The sequence below is a fragment of the Homo sapiens genome, chromosome 20 (genome assembly GCF_000001405.40).
Source record: "Homo sapiens chromosome 20, GRCh38.p14 Primary Assembly".
Taxonomy (NCBI): Eukaryota; Metazoa; Chordata; class Mammalia; order Primates; family Hominidae; genus Homo; species Homo sapiens.
Window position 1 is genome coordinate 23,133,822 of NC_000020.11, and position 19,780 is coordinate 23,153,601.

General features: G+C 47.1%; 1 long non-coding RNA gene across 2 annotated transcripts in view, besides 4 other annotated features; it reads left to right on the plus strand.

Moving 5' to 3' along the window:
* Nucleotides 2,612-3,811: an enhancer, noted in NCBI's record as "MED14-independent group 3 enhancer chr20:23117070-23118269 (GRCh37/hg19 assembly coordinates)". NCBI's record gives its function as "activates an origin of replication core promoter dependent on BRD2, BRD4, P300/CBP and CDK7 cofactors, and independent of MED14, by STARR-seq in HCT116 cells {active_cell/tissue: HCT116}" and the evidence as "EXISTENCE:reporter gene assay evidence [ECO:0000049][PMID:35650434]".
* Nucleotides 9,291-9,585: an enhancer, noted in NCBI's record as "tiled region #14145; HepG2 Activating DNase unmatched - State 9:DNaseU, and K562 Activating DNase unmatched - State 5:Enh". NCBI's record gives its function as "activates a minimal TATA promoter and a strong SV40 promoter by Sharpr-MPRA in HepG2 and K562 cells {active_cell/tissue: HepG2 | K562}" and the evidence as "EXISTENCE:reporter gene assay evidence [ECO:0000049][PMID:27701403]".
* Nucleotides 13,731-14,930: an enhancer, noted in NCBI's record as "CDK7 strongly-dependent group 2 enhancer chr20:23128189-23129388 (GRCh37/hg19 assembly coordinates)". NCBI's record gives its function as "activates an origin of replication core promoter dependent on BRD2, BRD4, P300/CBP, MED14 and CDK7 cofactors, with strong dependence on CDK7, by STARR-seq in HCT116 cells {active_cell/tissue: HCT116}" and the evidence as "EXISTENCE:reporter gene assay evidence [ECO:0000049][PMID:35650434]".
* Nucleotides 14,282-19,780, plus strand: part of LINC03125 (long intergenic non-protein coding RNA 3125) — a 42,205-nt gene continuing 36,706 nt past the window's right edge. For both annotated transcript variants that reach the window (NR_199692.1, NR_199691.1), the window contains exon 1: nt 14,282-14,593. This is a non-coding gene — a long non-coding RNA (long intergenic non-protein coding RNA 3125). The remainder of the gene's footprint in view (nt 14,594-19,780) is intronic.
* Nucleotides 16,425-17,408: an enhancer, noted in NCBI's record as "H3K4me1 hESC enhancer chr20:23130883-23131866 (GRCh37/hg19 assembly coordinates)". NCBI's record gives its function as "activates a minimal SCP1, AML or CMV promoter by ChIP-STARR-seq in naive H9 embryonic stem cells {active_cell/tissue: H9 hESC(naive)}" and the evidence as "EXISTENCE:reporter gene assay evidence [ECO:0000049][PMID:30033119]".

Sequence of the window (19,780 nt, forward strand, 5' to 3'; positions counted from 1 at the left end):
ATGAGTCTGTTCTGGAAAACTGCGGCCTAACCAAGGCTGTCCCGGGCTCTTCCAGCTGCTCAGAGGGAGGGTCCTAAGATCTTACAGACATAGCTAGGTCATGCTTCCCATGTCAATCAGGGCAAACAGAACACACTAACAGTGAACAAGTCCAAGAGGGGATTAAGAAAACAATTCTATTTACAACAGCATCAAAAAGAATAAACATTTGGAAATAAAATTCACCAGCAAGGAGAAAGACTTGGACACCAAAACATTAAAAAAATACCGGCCGGGCGCGGTGGCTCACGCCTGTAATCCCAGCACTTTGGGAGGCCGAGGTGGGCAGATCACAAGGTCAGGAGATCGAGACCACGGTGAAGCCCCGTCTCTACTAAAAATCCAAAAAAATTAGCTGGGCGCGGTGGCGGGCGCCTGTAGTCCCAGCTACTCGGGAGGCTGAGGCCAGAGAATGGCGTGAACCCGGGAGGCGGAGCTTGCAGTGAGCCGAGATCACATCACTGCACTCCAGCCTGGGCGACAGAGTGAGACTCTGTCTCAAAAAAAAAAAAGACCAATGAAATAAATTAAAGAAGAAATAAAGAAATTAAAAGATTTCCTTTGTTCATGAATTGGAAGACTTAATATTGATAATGTGTCAAAACTAACAAGAGTGATCTACAGATGCAATGCAATCTCTATCAAAATCCCAAAGGGATTTGCTGCAGAAATAGCAGGATTCATCCTAAAATTCATATGGAATTTTAAGGGGCCCTGGAGAGCCAAACAATCTTGAGAAAAAAAGAACAAAGTTGGAGGACTCAAACCTCCTGATTTCAAATCATATTACAAAGCTACAGTAGGCAAAACATTGTGGTACTGGAATAAAGACAGATATATAGACCAATGGAATGAAATAGGGGGCCCAGAAATACACCCTTGATTTTCAGCAAGGATGTCAAGACCATTTAATGAAGGAAGGGTAAAATTTTCAACAGATGGTTTGGGAAAATTGGAAATACATATGCAAAAGCAAGAAGTTAGACCTTACCTCATATCATATAAAAAAATTAATTCAAATTGATCAGATGCCTAAACATAAGACATAAAACTATAAAGCTCCTAGAAAAAAACATAGAAGAAAATCTTTATAACATTAGATTTGGCAATGATATAACACCAAAACCAGGTGCTGCAAGAGTAAAAATACTAATAGATAAATTGGACTATATCAAAATTGAAATGTTTTGTGCATCAAAGGACAAAAAATGATAATAAACAATAATAAACAGAGTGAAAAGGCAACCCATTGAATGGGAGAAAATATTACAAATCATATATAGAATAAGGGGTTAATGTCCAGATTATATAAAGAACTCCTGCAACTAAACAACAACAAACAACAACAAAACAATTAAAAAATGTCAAAGGACACGAATAGACATTTCTACAAAGAAGATATACAAAGGGTCAATAAGCACATGAAAAGATGTTCAGCATCACTAATCATTAGGGAAAAGCAAATCAAAACCACACTGAGATACCGCCTCACATCCATTAGGATGGCTACTATTAGACAAACAAACAAAACCCAGGAGTCATAAGTGTTAATGAGCATGTATGGAAATTGGAACCCTTGAGCACCATTGGTAGAACTGTAAAATGGTGAAGCCACTACGGGAAATAATATGGTGGTTCTTAAAAAAATAAAATAAAATTAGAATAAAAGGAAAAGTAGAATTGCCATTTAATCTAGCAATTCCACTTCTGGGTGTATAACCAAAAGAATTGAAATTAGTGTCTCAAAGAGACATTGGTAACCCCATGTTCCTAGCAGCACTAAACACCATAGCCAAAGGTGGAGGCAACCCAGATGCCCATCAGCATGTGACTGGTAAACACAATGAGGCACAAACATGCCGTGGAATATTATTCAGCCTTTGTAAGGGAAGAAATTCTGATGCAAGCTACAAGGGTGAACCTTGAACACATTATACTGAGTGAAATAAGCCAGTCATGAAAAGACAAATAATGTGGGATTCCTCTTAAATGAGGTGCTAGAGTTGCCAACTCCATAGAGACCGAAAGCAGAAGGGCGGCTGGCAGGGCCTGCGGGGAGGGGCGGAAGTCACTGTTTAATGGGCACAGGGTTTCTGTTTTGCAAGATGAAATGAGTTCTGGAGATGGGTTGTACAACAATGTGAATGTGTGTAACACTACTGAACTGAACACTTAAAAACGGTCATGATGATGAATTTTGTTATGTGTATTTTGCCACAATTTAATTCAAAAAATATAAATACACACAAAATGTCTGCACAGAAACCCTGTTTTTGAAGGAAATGCCCTGTATTGTCAGTGAGTCAGACGTGGGCTGTGCTCCCAAACCTGGGTGGATTGTGCCCTCTGTGGCCCATCACTGCAGAGGGTGTCAGTGTGAGGAGGAAAAAAAGGGGAGTGGACAGGCTCTGGGCCACAGGCCCACTGCCCACTGTGGGACAGAGAGTGCTTCCCTGCTCTCAGGAGAAGAGAAAGCATGTTGCTCATGCACATAACACATTCACCTTATAGGGGGCCACTGGACTTCTAGCTTCCCAGACCTGGTTCATCTAAGGGAAAGCCATTTGTAGGGGCAGAAATGTTCCTAACTTCCTGTTCAGGGTCTCTTAATTCTATGGACATGAATGACGGCAAGGGCCATTATGCATTGATTCTGATGTGCAGAGTTCCAGTCTGAGCAGGACTATGCCTGTTGTACAGACTGGAAAGCTGTGACTTCAAGGGGTTAAGAAACCAGCCAGAGGCCGCACAACCAGCAAGCCGCAGAGGTGGACGGAGCCAGGCCGTTGGGTTCTGTTTGGGTTGTTTCTTGCTATTTAACAGACTGCCCTAAATCTCAGTGACTTAACACCCATTTTGTCACCTCTCTGGGTTGGGTAGGGTGGGGGCTCAGCTGGACACTTCTCCCGCTGTTTTTCTTGGGGTCTTTCCTGTAGTTTTAGCTCGATGGTGGAGGGGCCGGGGGTCATCTGGAGGTTAGACCAGGTGGAGGGGCCTCTCTTATTGTCTCCACATGTCCTGTCTTGTGGCCTCTCCAGAAGGGTGGCTCAGGGTTCCCAGGAATGAGTGATCCAGTGAGAAGCAGCAGCAGCTGTGGCCTCTCGCGGGCAGGCGGGAAACCGACACCGTTCACTGGTAGGTATTCTGCTGGTTAGGCGTGAGTCAGCGCCTGGCCCAGATTCCACCCTGGAGGGGCTGCACCAGGGCGTGAACTCTCGGGGCGTGGCTCCCCAACCCTCTTTAGAAACATTACCTTGAACACCATAGCTCAGAGCAGTAATCACCAGTCCACTGAGGCAGCAGAGGGGCCTACGGCTGGGACTGTGGGAACAGGGAAGCTGCACCCAGGGCTTCACCCACAGGCACCATCGCTTACTCTGCCTGGCTCGCGGGTCGGTGAAGGGAGTGGCTGCCCTTCTGCTCAGCTCGGTCTTTGTCCCATTATTTTCTCCATTTGTTCTGCTGAAGAGACAGCCAGGAGGCAGTGAAGTGGCCCCTCCAAGGTCAAGGCAGCATGCAAACCCCACCTGCCCGCTGAGCCTGACATTTATTTTATCACAATGGGTTTCAAGCAGGAAGATTGCCCTGTCCTGAGGACAGGACAGCCAGCTTCATGGGCACTTGACATGAAAACCTCCAGTGGCCTCAGTACCCAGGTGGGGGTGGGAGCACTGCAACCCTCAGGGCAAAACCAAGGAACATGAAGGTGTTGGGGATGCACCTGGGCCTCAGCCTGGCAAAGAGCCCAAGAAACACCCAGGTAGACTTTGGGAGTGGGAAAGACTCCACCCACGGTCTCCGAGAGAAGGAGGCTAATGGGGCAGGGGGTGAAGACAGGATAAATGAAGGAACGCAAGAAGCCTAAGGGGGAAGGTGGTTTGAGGGCTGAAGCCCAGGTTGAGACTAGAAGGCCAGGCAGAAGCATTCAGATCCCAGGTCCTGTAAATTCTTTCCCACTGGGGAAAGAATTTGTCCTACAGGAAGGCTGAGGAAAGGCTCTGCTGAGTCTATCTTCGCTTTGTTTTTTGCAAGAAAAGTTTTCCTTTTGTGAAAACTTATCATACAGATTGGGCCATTCTTGTCACACCCAACTAAAACACAGTCAAGAATCCAGTGGGGATAGCACCCAGAGCACAATACATTGCTCCAAAAATGTAATTATCTGTAGGCCTAGCAGCTGAAACTGCCTGCAGTAGCCTGAAACCAGTTTTATCTAAGACTCCTGAAATGACCTGCTGCAACTCTCAGACTAGCTTTGCCCATGGCTGTCACTTCCCAATCAGAGCTTGCCAGCTACTCAGAACCTTACTAGTGCTGGTGAAATTTCTCAAAGAGCAATGCATAACATTTCTTCTTTCTATAAAACCTCTGACCTTCTATTTGTTCTTCAGAGAGAGCACTTTTGATTCACGCTGGAAACTCTCTCCATCAGTTTGGTTTGCAAACTGATGTTGACATTAAAGCCCTCTCTTCGACTACCCAGCCATCCTGGTGGTCCTTTGGGTAACACTTGCTTCATGAGGCTGTACAATGGTCTAATAAGAGGGCAGAGGAAATTCATGGTAAGCCCTTTATCCCCAGGGACAGCTCCTGGCAGGACAGGTGCTGGAGGAGGGGGAAGGCTTTCTGTCCTTTTTCATTGCTTATCCCTTTTGTCTTGCCTGCATCTGATGTTGAGTTTGGTTTCTCAGATTAATATTTCTTTCCAGAGTAGCCAAAAAAATCATCTGCCACCGAGTTGGACTGGTTAGAGCACCCTCCCCTTGCATTTTTAATGATCTGACCAAATAATAATAATTCCCAAAGAGTCCTTAGAAATCCAGAGAGGTAGGTTTGCAAAATCAATGTTGAAAATGTCAGAACAGGCTTGCAAAATTCACATTACAAAAATTGCATGCAGCCCCCGCAATCAACTGAAGGCATCTGGCTGTTGCAGACACACCAGCCTCACCTGGCTTACCTCAGGTCTCCAATTTGCCCATCCATTTGCAGGGCTTCTCAAGCTCTCTGGGACCACCCAGCTGAAACAGAAGCACTGTGCTGTCCCCTGGGTAAGGAGGGAAGCCGGGCTGCTAGAATGACAAGGCATGGGAAAAAGGCCTGACTCCTGAAATATTGTTCATTCTCCAAAAGCTGTCTGATCAAGGATTTTCAGATGCATGAAGTCAAAGTTACCTACCCTTTTTCAGGGCAACGATATGGAAATGTAAGTCAAGATAAGCAGAGGAAAGGCAAAGAACTGTGAGGCCTGTGAGGGAGGCCAAAAAACATGCTCTGGCATAAGCCAGCAAGGGCAGCTTCTCAAGAAAAGAAATTCCGGCCCTTGACTCTTATGGACCCATTCTCTTTCTGTTGGCCTTAGACACAGAAACTAAGACACATGTTTAGTCAACGATGAATATATGAACATTAACATCAGACAAGATATTTGAAATTGAAAGTGACCTAGAAAATAAAACTATTGAGTGTATGATCATGTTAGACCCTACCTGCTGAAAAATTCCTTTAACAAGGGGTTGATTAAGTGGCATTTTAGAATTTAGAAAGCACTTCTCAGCTACAAAGATGATTGCTAGTTTCTTACCTAATCACAAAGAGGCACAGACTGGTGTTTTCTCTGTGGCTTTTACAGAGACCATAGTATATTATATACACAGCTCTACACTTAGTTTCTCTCTCTGAGCAAGAGTAGAGGGTTGCCTTGTTCTGTTAACGCTTTGGAGTGAGGTTAGCTTTGTGTGTGTGTAGGATTTATTCAGCTCTGGCCCCAGTCATTGGATAAAGGGTTTGCTATGATAAACATCTGAGCCTACATGCATGTATGGACACGTACAGGAAACGTCCTTACATGGGGACGCGTCAGGCACGTGGTGTTGGCATTCTTTACTTTGTGTGATGCTGCCAATCACCCTCTGTGAAGGTGGTGCTGGTTCACACTGCTCATCCTCACTTCATGGTGTGGGCACACTCCCTGGTGGGTCCCAACCTGCCGGGTGAAGCAGGAGCAACTCACTGCAGTTTTGAGTGCGTTTTTCTCATCTTTCCCTGTGTATAAGAGGCAGTTATTTGAACAATGAGATCACATGGACACAGGAAGGGGAATATCACACTCTGGGGACTGTGGTGGTGTGGGGGGAGGGGGGAGGGATAGCATTGGGAGATATACCTAATGCTAGATGACGAGTTAGTGGGTGCAGTGCACCAGCATGGCACATGTATACATATGTAACTAACCTGCACAATGTGCACATGTACCCTAAAACTTAAAGTATAATAATAAAAATAAATAAATAAATAAATAAATAAATAAATAAAGAGGCAGTTATTTTTCTGTTTCTGTCTCTATCCCTTGTCCATTTGCTGTGGAGTTGTTGATTTTTTAATCATGGATTAATAATAATAACTTGAAATAAAAAAACTAACCCCTTTGAATTTGATATATGATACAAATATATTTCACAGTATCATGTTTTAATTTTTTTAAGTTTTGTTTTATTAATATGTAGATTATTTCTATTTTATATGCAGTTAATGCATTAATTTTTTGGTTTTTATTTCTTGTCCCTTATTCATACTTCTCTTCTTTACCCCAAAATTATTTATTTTTCTAATTCTCCTACATTTCCTTCCAGTAAATTTATGATTTCACCTTTAGGTGAAATAGCATTATACTTAAATGCTATGTTATACCATATATATTTAAATGCTATATTAAAATGTCCATCCTGGACAAAGTCTGGAGCTCCTCAATCTCAGTTTTGTCTTCATGTTTTGCACAAGCTTTCTCTCTTTGTGTCTGGCTTACATTCTGCGTGTTGTTTTGGATGTGTGTGTTCCTCCTGCTTATTTGGACATTGTGAGTTCCATTTCTAGCTCATTTTGTTGTTACTCCTGTAACTCTATCCTTTGATGAGATAATGTACCCGTGATTTAGACAGAATTTTCGAAGCACTGTGCTTTTTCTATTTCCCTCCATCACCTGACCTTAGTTATGTTATTTTTAAAAATTCTTCTGGTGTTTACATCTGTTCTTTAAATATTAATTGATTTTATCAATTTGAATGGATTCCTTTTGGACCCTAGGAACAAGTATGGCATGTCCGAGGTATTCAGCTTATAACCAGGGCTTTCAAGATTACTTGAAAGGAAAACATTCAAAAATGTATTTTAAAAAATTGTTAAACAGGGAAGCATGAGACATTATGATGCAAACAGAGTGACCTAATGTTCTTAGCTAAGCAAGGGAGAGGTCCTCAGGGTCAGGTTTTCCAGGACGCAGTGCTACCCCAGCTTCCCTCCCCGCACCAGAGTGACTTTGGGGGCTGTCAGCCACACCCCACTCTGAGTCGGCCTAAGCTGAGTGTCAAGCATTGTGGACATGGCTGCAGCCAGCGGTCCTGGGTATGTCCCTCTGCTGACCACTTGACACCCAGTCCTGGTGGCTTTGACCGCAGCTTGGTCTTGGAGCTGTCCCCATGGCCCTCAGAGTCTCTGAAGGGAGGAATCCAGGAACACTACAGTAAACCAAAGCCCAGCTCTTTGCGAGGGCTGTGCTTCCATAAGTAAGGCACAGGCTGCGAAGTCCTCACCAGGAGTAGAGGTCCTCAAGAGACCCTCTCTGTCCTTTGTCCAGCCTCCTGGGCATCAGTGCCATCATCTCTGGGGACAGCGTGTATCTGTAGCTGTTCACTTTGTAAGCCTAATGCCCAGCATCTGTCTCCTGGGCATCTGTGTCCTGGGCATTAGGCTTAGAAAAACAAATGACAGGTGCCTCTGGCCTCTTGGGCCTCACAGTGTTTTGAGAACAGACACCTAGATAAGTGACAAAACGTCAAAGCTCCAAAGAGCAGCAGCAGGTGCAGGCAGGGGACCCTGACATAGAGATAGTGACTCTGCTTTCAGGGGGACACTGAAGAGTGTGATCTGAGGGGAGGTGGAGGGCTGAGCAAGCAGAGATTAGGCAGTGTTGGGATGGGGCCATTCCTCCAGCCTCCTGCCCACCATCTCACAACTCCAGTTTTTCCCACTTCCCGGTACCTCCTGTTAAAACCCTTTGAGACGGGACACATGATGAAAGCATTTGCACGGCCTTGGTCAGCTCGGACATCTGCCAAGGCTTGGATTCTCCTTTCATCAAAGCCAATGGATTCTGCACGCAGCTCCCAAGAGCTGGAAACAAAGTGGGAGAACCCTGTCTGGAGCAGTGTATTCATTCATGCGTGCATTCATTCAACGTGCATTTATCAAAGGGCCACTTTGATGTGCTGGAGATATAGGGATGAACAAACCGGACCAAGTCCTCCCCCGCACAGGGCTTGCCTTCTAGTGGGGTGGCAGCCAACATGAAATTAAACACAAGTATACTATCGAGTAGGTAAATGCTATGAACAAAAATGCAAAAAGCCAGATGCTCAAGGGCAGAGGCTGATGTTTTGGGTACGGTGGTTTGGGAAGGCCTCAGGAGCTCACCTTTGAGCACTAGGTGTGGCCAACATGTCGAGGGTAATGGGGTAGGTTTGACTAATCAACCACAAAAGAAGGCCTCTGACAGAACTTAGAGGAAGTAGCAAACGTTGCAGAAGGAACTAAGTTTGTCAAATCACAGCCTGTGTAGTATCTGGTCACAGAGAGAGTGGGTGGGCCAGGCCTGCATGGATCCTTGAGGAGAGGTCTTAGGCCGGCCGACAGCAGTCCAGGAAACATACCAGAGCAGTGCCCCTGGATAGGCTCTGGTCCAGCATGGGCTATGGTCCAACCCGGCCAGGGAAGCCCCCAGCCCCAGGCTGAAGGATGTACAGCAGGCGGCTTTCCTGGAAATGCTGGCTCGATCCAGGTCAGGTGCACGGAGTGAGGCCTAGTGGTGCCGTGAATGCCCACTCCTGCCACCAGCCCAACTCAGTGCAGAGGGGGACCTAGATACATTTGCTAGACAACAGGGTGCCAGGGCATTCTCTTCTCTTCTCATAACATAATATTTCCTGTACTATAGCTTACACTTCAGTAGGTGGCGAAGTCCACGTGAGCTAAGCATTCTGTGCAGTGGTGATTTTTGATGATTTCTGGTAGCAAATTGAGCCAATAAAATGTGACCACCATGAAGGTAAGAAGGTAATCAGGGTCTTTAGAGTCTTGAATGCATGGGTTATGAGCCCCACATTTCGGTCGCCTGTTAAATATCAGGCCTTTCTGGGTGATGGGCTGTCTAATATTCTTTCTTGCCTGTATTTTTCTACATTGTTTGAATTTTATATCTACACATGTATCGTTTAAAAGGGAAGCTCTTTTCCAAAATGCTAACACTCCTGTTTTCATAAGTATGATTTTCATAATCCCAAAGCAGGAAAAGCAGTCATCTCTGTGCTGAGCACTAGGGAAACCTCAGATGACTCAGCCCCATGGAAAGCAAGCCACTTCCTGCCGTGTTAAAGGAGACTGCGCTGACCTTCAAATCCAGCGAGTGGTGACACGGGTCTGTCAGCTAGTGTTAGGGATTGTGTAGTTATTTTTTATGAAGGACACAGGAAGCCAGAGAAAAGAGACATTCAGAAGGGAGAGAATTCTAGAAATTCATCACATTTTGTGGGAATCCTTAAAATAATAAGTTTGCAATAAAACTATTTTGAATCACTGAAAGTTTCACTTGTCTTTGGGATTCTATTATCTGGTAAAACAACAACAAAACAATCTCCTAACATCTTTTATTTCATGAGTTGTAGAACCAAGTTTAGATTTTGTACAAAGTTGTAAATTTGTATAGAAAGCACATGATTTATGGGGATAGGATAATTCCATCCAAACCAAAGGACAGGTAGGCAACAAAAATCTAGAAGCTCTTGGTTTCTTAGCAGCTAGTGATGCTGGAGAAATTTCTATTTCCAAGGAAAGAAGGAAGAAAAAGAGGGGGAGAGTGAGGTGAGGAGGGAAGAAAGAAAGAAGGCAGGAATACAAATGTCTAGATAGATATAATATGTGTGTGTATGCATGTGTTTATTTGTGTGTGTAGGTATTTATGTGTGCAGGTATTTGTGTATGTGTATTTGTGTGTGTATGCATATATTGTGCACCTGTGTGTGTGTGTGTGTGTGTGTGTGTGTGTGTGTCTGTATGCATGCATGTATATTTGTGATGCTGTTCTAAGTCTGGAGAGTCTGCTGCTGCTCCAGTCTGAACCACACACACTTGCCCTCCTTCCCAGGTGAGAAGCTGGCCCTAGCTGCAGGGCTGGCTGAAGAATGGAGAGAGATTTGATTTGTCAGGTTCATGTCAGATGTTGACAAAGTCATCTCTCCTTCTTGTTCACATGAGGTCCATTGTATTTCCAGCCTCCTCACCCTGTGGAAGTCCTGCCTGTCCCAGAGCAGGTTTTGCAGGAACTTACCACACAACTCAGCCCTTCATCAAATTTCAGCACCTGGACAGGTTGCTCTCCCTCTCAAGGCTAATTCAACAGAACTGTTGTCCCTACCATCAGTCAGATTTCAGGTCCTCCAAGGTCCAGTGAGCTTGCTCTGAGAACAGACTGTCTCTGCAGGGCTGCAGGCAAGAAGTGAGGTGAGCTATGTCTTTTCCAGTGAGAGTCACCTGCCTGGGTTCCCCGAGTCGGCCAACACCAGCTCTAGACGACGTAGCGTGGGTCACTTATCTGCCTCCACCTACCCGGAGATGTGCTGGGAAGCACAGTGACCCAGCCACCATGTCAGTTCTCTTTCCTCAAAACAGTGCTGACCACAGCTGGCTCCACAGAACAGATATCCATTGAGATGCTCTGAGGGATGTGTGGAGGGTTTCGGAAAATACACTCTCTCGGGGCTTGGAGGTCTGGCACCCACTCTAGCATGGCTGTGGCTCCAAGGAGAGCCTGGCCTTGCCTGGGAACCTCTGCCATGTCACCCTCTTCCCTGGCACTCCATGAAAGATGCAGCTCTCACAGCTCCCAGATGTTCTCTCAGCAGGAGCTATACAGGTTAGCAGGAGGCAGGAGGCCCAGACTCCTGGACAAGTGTAGGCAGCTCTCTCGGTGGGCTGCTGGGGAAACCCTGCTGGCTGGTGGAAAAGAGTTAAACCTTTAGGACAGAATTACATCCCTTAGATAACCCAATTCTCCCCAGCTTGCAGGGCTGCTCAAGTCAACAAGCTCTCCATACTCAGTGAGCCAAGGATGCCAGATGGCAGGCTGCGGGCACTGATGGGCCAGAGGACCAAGTCAGTGTTACGTGGAGAATGAAAACAGGGAGAATGAATGACAGAGCATGACCGGGCGGGCTGAGGTAAGGCCCAGGAAGGCCCATTTCCACAAAGAGCCACACGGCAAGAAGAAGCCAGCCTGGTGGGGAAAGCAGCCTGTGCAAAAGCTTGGTTTGTCCAAATAAAGAGAAGGAGAATGACACGGCTGCAGTCTTGTGAGCCATGGCAGAGGGAATTAGAGCAGCCACAGCGGGCAGTAAGAGGCCAGGAAAGGGAGGTCAGGACTTCTATCAGTGTTGTGGAGCAAGGCTGCTGGGTCTGAATCAGGAACATGAAATCATCTGACTGGTGGTTTTCAAAGAAAGAGCTTGCTGCCTGCCTGCGGGGAAGGACTGCAGGAGGAGGATGCTGGATGCAAGTAGGGAGGCTTTGCAGCAGGACAATCCAGGGTGACGGCGTGAGGTATGAGGGTCAGAGTTGAGATGGAGTCAGTCTGCAGACTTGGCATGGAAGGCGAGAACTCACAGAGAGAGCACGTGTGCTGTATGTGTCACGCAGGATGGCAACCGCTCCCAGACGGGCACTGATGGAAACAGTGAATCAGAGAAAGGGCTGAAACAGTGCCCTGAAGCCTGGCCAGGCAGGGTCACTGGGAGCACCCTGGTGGGGTGTGCAATTGTATGGTTCATTTGCCCAACACGGCACAATGCACAACAGAGAAAATCAAATCAAACTCCAGACAAGAACACTTTGCTTAAGAAAGCAGATGTGAGAAATGTGCCACTTGTTTGTGAAAGTTTTTCATCAAAACAGCTCTCACAGAGATGGGGGGGTTTGATTTAAATGAGAAATGTGCTTATAAAAAACAGATCTTTGGTGAGTAATGAATAGCTATTATCTTATCTATTTAATTATGTATTTAAACGACATATGAAATTTATTATATTTTCCTAAACAAGTTTGAATTATGTTTTTGATTATCTGAAGTGCAACAAAGTTCATCTGCAATGATTCAGCTGTTTATTCATTCTAATATATGGCCACCTACTACACTGTCTGGCACCTATCGAGAGTTTAACAGATGTTTAATTAATAAGTAAGCATCAGTTGGTGAATAGCAGTGCTATTCCAAGATCTTGAGGAAATATTAGAATCTATAAGATGTGGCTCTTCCTGGACAATCAGGCTGAACTCAGCAATTCTGCCACTTCTCAGAGGCCAAAACCACTCCATGAGAAGGCTCCCTATCAGAGCCAAATCACCTCTGGGCAGAGCCAAGATAAATCCAGTGCAATCTACATGAAGTTGTCTGTTTAGACCACACAGATCTGCACAATCTTCCCTACAGGGCCCTGGTGACATCTGCTGAAATGAATGAAGCAGTCGAATCAAGGGCACCATGCTTCACAGTCACGTTTCTCATCTTTTCGCTGCATGGACTGTTCTGCGGGGACGTGGCGGGTCTCGGGGCTGGGCAGTCTCAGAGGGTCAGGATCTGAGCGCACTATGGATCCGGGGAGAGGGAAGGGTTAAGAATCAGTGAGGAAGGGGCTGGGCAAGGACATTCTACCCACCCCCCACCCCCCGCCAAAAAAAAAAAAAAAAAAACAACTCACAGGAGGCAAATCTTTGGTGTGTATTTGCAAATGCCAAAGAGAAACATAAAAGAATGGTTTTCCTATGGAACACTGAAGAAAAATGTCGATCCTGATCTTTCCTCTGTCTCCTGCTTGCCCCCTGCCCTACGAGGCCAAGCAGCCAAGCAAGTGGTCAACAGGTGGCCTCTCCGAGCAGAACCGTTTCAGATGTTTAAGAGAAATGACATTTTAGGAGTGGAGCAATGAGCTCAACTTTCTGTGACAAACTTCAGGGGTACTTGTTTAAAAGCATGTTATTTGTGCTTCACCCACAAAGGTTCCAATTTGGAAGAGCTGAACTGGGCCCAGGAATGTATATCCTTTGTGTGTCCAGGAGGAGGTGTGGGTGGAGATAAGCAGCTCCTTGACCACACTTCAAGCAACAACTGGGGTGTGATTCTGAGGCATGTCTTCTCCTCCTCCATTGACTTTCTCCTCTCCAAAGGGTTATCACTGGTGTGACCAGCTCCTCCAGAGGTACCTAAGGTGATCTCATAGCAAAGACCCACGCCCTGGACCCATCCTGCTAGTGATGAATCTGAAGGTTCTGAAGGTTCTGTGCATAACCATGTGGAGCCTGAGTGCACAGGGGCCCAGAGCTATCCTGATTTCTAATCTGGAGCTCTTTTGTCTCTACCAAACTGCTTCTTTATTGAAACTTTACATCCTGAGGGGTTCACTGAATAACAGCGACCCCAAGGCACCTAGAAACAAGCAATGTCATGTTTCTGTACTTGGATTAGAAAACAGGAAGGGAAGGCAGGAGAGTGTGTGGTGTATCTTAGAAAAACTTTTTAAACGTGATACAATCTGAGGAAAATTTGCATTGATGCCAGTAGAGGGCTAGATAGCTTTAAAATTGATCATTTAAATGTATTGACGTAGAAACGTATTCACAATATACTTTAAATGGAAAGCTGTGTTAGGGTCAAGTCTTACAATGCGATTCCACGGTTGCACTGCCACACACACACACTTACATATGTGCCCAGAAAAGCATTGGAAGTAAACCACGTCCTCCTGTTAATAGCAATTGTTTCTGGGTGGTGGAGTTTAGGGGAACTGATGCACTTTTTTCTTTGGTTTTGCCCATCTGTACTGTAACTTTCCCCGAACAAATGTGCATCACTTGTGTCATAATTTACTTTTTTTAAATACATGGAAACAACCACAGTCTGTATTTATTCTCTGGTTAAAGTGCTAAGCCTTGTAATCTAGAATATTCATCTGTCCGAGACTGTACCCTGGGACTCATCTCACGATGAGACATTTGGCCTCCTCCCCAACTCAGTTTCAGAATTCATCTGCTGGATTTCTGAGTCCCACTGAGTGATTAATGTCACACGGGTGACAAGGCATGACTCATAGGCACCAAGAAAGCAGCAGCAGTGTGTGCAGGCCGGGAAGTTGCCACAGCCCTCACTCAGGGCTTCATGCACGCCAGGGCAGTCCTGGGTCAATGGTCTCTTTCCCCTCCTCCTGTTGGATAGATGAAGAGGCCTGAGCAGGAAGGTGGTGGTTCCGTGGGGAATCTTCAGTGACTGGAGTATGTTGTAAGGATGGTGAATCGTCACTTGGCCAGCCAGGGTTTGGCAGTCAAGACAGAGAGCAGTGTCTGGGCCCACAGCATGAGAGACTGCTGGACTTCAGTCTTCGGAGCAGGCAAGAACGGGGAGCTTCTGTGGATTTCTATTCCTGTCGCCTGTCACTGTGAACAGTGCCCAGTACTGCTGGTCAGTAAATGTTTGCTAAAATACTGAGCAACCAAGGAAGTGACTTCAGTTGAACTCTGTACCTGTTGTGTTCACTTCCTTTGCAACATGCGTGACTAATGGTTACTCCTTCTCTTGAATGCTTCCAGAAGAGTAGCACTCACCACCTCATGAGGAAAGGCACTGCAACTTTGGTCAATGATATCTGTTAGAAAGATCTTTTCCTATATTTAGAAGAGTGATTCTCATACCTGAGCATGTATGAGAATCAGTGGGTTTGAGGTGGGCCCAAGAATTTCCCTTTCTAACAAGTTCCCAGAAGATGCTGATGTGGCAGCTTCTAGCACAGTGCTTGGAAATCCATGAGTTTTCAAGAGGACAATCTAAAGTGTTCCTTTGTTTTCCTTTACTTCCCCTCATTCTCAAATCCTATGGGGATGACACAGAGAACCACAAACAAAACAACACACACACACACACACACACACACACATACACACACAGAGCACCCTTGTCCCTAGCTTTATCCTCTGGGATACACAGGACAAGCTCCTCCCTGTTCTATGTGCAACTTTTAAAATATGTGCAACTTTTAAAATACGTGGATGTGGCTTTCACATCTTCTTAGTCCCTCTTTAGCAGATTTTTTACAAAACAAATAAGCCAGGAAACCATGGTCTGAAAGGATTCCTGCTCTGGTGAGATCCAAGACCCACAGCGAGGGCGAAGACAGAGGTCTTGCTGCAGCCCCGGCTTCCTCCACATGGAGGTCCCAGGAAGACGGCATAAGCCATTGCCTCGATAATAACCTGCTTGCTAACTTCCAGCCAGTGCTTCCACATTTTCATGACTTCCAAAGGTTCAGATGAGGATGGTAGTTGTGAGTTTGGGATGAAGTCTTCTGAGCGACTCCTATGGCCCAGCCACAGGGACCTGGGGCTGGAGAGAGAGGACCATCCCAGGCTGCAGCAGCCAACACCTGTGTGGAGGTGCAGGCCCGTGGCCCCCAGCTGTGGTGGACACAGCTGTGCTTCCTGATAGCACCCTTCCCTGCACCTACACCGTGACATCCTCCTCCTCAGCCTGAGTGCAGGCACCACCTGAAGGGTATTTGGGGGAGGGCACCAGTGTCCCCAAGGTAGGAGCTAGTGCATATGGCCTCGTCCTTCAGAGGGACAATTCTGAGAGGCAATCTGCGTGCTTTCAAAGGCCCAGAAACACACCCTGTGTTGCCTCCTCCCTGTCTGACTCTTCCTCTTCCTCCTGCTCCCTGGGACCAGCTCCCAAACAAACTCAATTTCTTCTCTCAGTCGAAGTTTGCTAAGTGAGTGAAGAGTCAAATAAATGATGTTGCTTAACTCTCCCTCTGATGTGTGAATGTCCTCTAGGAACAAGCCTTTTGTAGGAGAACTGTAGGCCAGGGCTGAGTGCACCTGGGATGCAGGATCTCCAGGGGGGACCTATCACTTGTGCGAATTTAAACCTGCTCAGAGCTTAGGGCCCGGCTCTGCTCAAGATGGGCAGAAATAAAGAAGACTAAACATTTACATCTCAAGAGTTTATTTACCCTGGCCTGACTCTTCAAAAAATGCCATTGCTGCTACCCTGAGGATTAACCATGGCCATTTTTAGACCAGGTGCCATCCTGCCTTTAGCCTCGGGTCACCCCTCTGACTCACTGCCAGGAAACGGAGCCTAGACCCTGATGTGTGGTGAGAATTGGCCTGGTTTTCACCTGAGATCCACACTTGAGAAAGCTGATTGAACTCACAGCGTGCCATCCTGCCTAAGATCCTCTTCAGAGATTCTATTTCCCAGAGGGAGGGGATCACTTTCCGCAGTGGGGTTTCTATCTGGGACATTTCTCTTCATCTGTAGGAACCCTATTTAAAGGCTAGAAAATCTGAGGGAGAAGTGGAAAGAAGAAAGCTGTGTAGCTGTGACGATGGCCTGGGACATGGATTCCCAAAGCCTGACCCTCCGCTGTGCCCCCTGCTCCCCAGCAGGCATGGTTAGCCTGTCATGGAACCCTGCACCTGAGCCTGGGCGAGCTCCAGATTCCTCAGCACACAGAGCTCCAAGCTCCTCCTGCCAGGCCGCCAGGGCTGGCTCCCGAGAGAATGCACAAGCCTTTTGTGGTGTCTGAGAAAACACAGCTGAATCTACTAGGCAAGGGGTTGTATAGGGCACCTCGGGAAGAAGTCGCACAGGTGCCCCCAGAGATCTCAGGGGCAGGGAGGGGCTCACCCATAAGGGAAGGGGAGGACTCAGAAGGCTTTGAGGAAGAGGCAGCTCCTAAAATGGGTGAGGGCAGAGTGTGCCCTGAGGCCCCACAGCAGGCAAGCAGGTGACTGGAGAAGCAGCTAGGTCTGGTGCCTGTGTGCCAGGCTTGTATGCCAGGGCTGGGCTGCATGGGATGCACAATGCTACTGGGCCAGCACCATCAGCAGTGTACTGCCCCTCACACCCAGGGCAGGCCTTGAAGCTAAGAGAGGGATGGGGCAGTGCCCATCGTTCTCCTGCCACTGGAGTGTGACCTTCTGGTGCCATGACAGCCAGTGGGTGGCAGGTGCCTGCCCCTCTTCCCATAGGCTGCCCCAGGAGGAAGAGGGGCCCGTTCCTGTGAGTAGAGCACAGTGAAACCACTCTCTTTTCTGCACAGTGAAAGAGACATCCTTCACGGGGTGCAGAGAAGCTGCTGCCCTTTCCTCCCCGTCAGGCCAGAGTCTTCCCTACTCCCTGCTGGGGCCAGGGAGGACAGAGGCAGCCCTGAAGCTTCCTGTGGCTCAACTCTTGAAGGCTGCTCAGTTAGAGAAAAAGGATGGTGCTGACCATGGAGGAATCTCACACACACTCCAGGCACCCTGCCTCTGCCTTGCTCTCTGCAGTGGCCACTGAGAACTCTTAGGAATTGACCCTTGCTTCTTAGGCACTGGGCATGAGAGAGGGCCCTCCCTTGCTGTGGGGGCCTCCCAAGACCAGGGAGGCTGGGCCTCTGGAGGTCTCCCCTGAAACTCCTTACCCAGCGGGATCATGCCCTGGGCCTTTGTGCCTGCCGGAATCCTGGTGGGTGGAGGAAATCCGTTACCCTCATGAGAGCTACCTGCCTAGACCCCTGCTGACCTGACCTCACCTTTTGTTTGACCCAGGAACTTACCCGCCCCTTGCTGGGGGTTGGAACTGTCACATGTCCTAAGCCAGCATGAACAGGCAGGATAGTTAGGCTGACTGTGATTGTGCTGGCCATGATGCTCGACTTGGCCCTAGGCTTGACTTTGTTTCATCTGTAATAGTCTCCATTTTTTCTTGCTGTGAAGTAAGCCACCTCAAAACTTAGTGGCTTAAAACAGCAGTTTATTCTTCTTCCCTACCATGGGTTGAGTGTGTGGTCCTTCTGCTGTGCTTGATGTGACTGTGTGGCGTCGTCACAGGGGGGCTTAAATGGGGTGAGACACCAAGCATGGCTCATTCAGAGGCCCAGTGCTTTGGGGAACGGCCAGGAGGCTGCACTCAGCCAGGACCCTCAGCGTCATCTCAGGGTCTCTGCCTCTCTTCGTGGCCTCTCCATGTGGACTTTTTAATTACATGGCAGCTCAGCACTCCCAGAGCACAAATAGGAGCTCTATCTGTAGGAGGTGGCCAGGCCTTCTACAGCCACAGGCCCAGGTCCCTTCCACCACAGCATGTGGGTCACAGACCTGCCCTGACTCACACAGTGGAAGGCAACAGGGCAGCATGCACACCGAAAGCCATCACTGGATCCTGTGTTTACAGCATCTCAATTCCACAGCAACACCCGAGTTTCCATCAAGGAGGCAATGAAGACCCAGCCCGGGCAGCAGGAGGCAGCGGTGTTATCAGGGGCCCACTCGTTCTGAGGGACCATAAAAATACTAGGAAAAGATCATTTTTCATCTTGACTACTTAACAATCTTACAGTTTTATTATAGTCTTAAAGCTCCTGGCCAGGGTTTTATCTTTGGGAAGTATCTCTTTATGTGCCAAGTGCCACCAAACAGCATCTGTTGGTGCCTCCTCCTACAGGAAGCAAGTGCCTCCTCATACAGGAAGCACTGGCATTAGGAACACCCTGTATTTCTCGCCTGCAGCTGCACTGTGTCACTCACTGATGTCATTCTCCTATCTGAAGGGCTCAGGGTCCACTCTCCAGCCTGACCTGCTGCGAGGTCACTTAGCTAAGACCAGCTAAAAATAGCAACTGTTGCTCAGAAGCACCGGCTCTGCATCATGGGCTCACCCTGACGCCTATGCCTCCCCGGGGACAGGGCCGCACGATGGAGGAAGAGCCGACTGAGCCAGCTCCAGCCACCTTCTCCAAGCACAGGACCTTGTGAGCTGTGAGCTGACTAACAGCTTCAGCATCGAGCTTTGGGGGATATTAATGCTTAGCTGATAAGCATTAATCATATCCCACTTAAGTAATGGTTGGGCCAATTTCTGTTTTCAATTAAGAATAAAATGTAAGCATTTGGTTCATATATAAGCAATCTTCAGTGAATGGTAAATTATTATTTTGGGAAAAAAAGTAAAATGGACATGTACTTAGAACTAAACTCAGAGCCTTGGGCAGTGTCTAGGATTTCTCTTTGGAAGTTGGATTGGGAAGAGGATGTGCCTGGGAGCTTATTGGATCTGAGGGGTGGGAGGAGACTTCCCCAGATCCACCGCACTGCCACAGTCTCTCTCAAGGCATCTCCAAAGGTGGCATCCCAACCTCAAAGTGACAGAAGAAGAATCATGGGCCATCGGCGGCACTGGTTTTCTAGGTTGTGTTATAATTTTCATTTCCCCATAGATGAAAAATGTCAATTGTGTTCATCTTGAAGGCTATGTTAGAATTAGAATGCTATTAAAATTTTCATGGATAATCTTAAAAAAATGCAATGATGAACATAACTACCTCCTAGAAATTGTGTTTCTTTCTTCCTTTAAAGTGAAAAAAAATATTACCTGTTGCTACCCTGTTCACCATTAGCCTTCAACGTGAATGGTGCAAAGCATTTTCAGTGTTAAGGCGGTTAAAATGGTCTTTTAGGAACAGCTTAGACATTAGCAGAATGCCTTCCTTATTCTATCACCGTATTAGGAGAAACAAGCAGAGCCCCCACCCCAAGCCTGTATTCTGTCCACTCCCAGTAGGTATCAGACAGAAATCTGCGAAGCCCCTCAGTGCTTTAGGTGAATCGG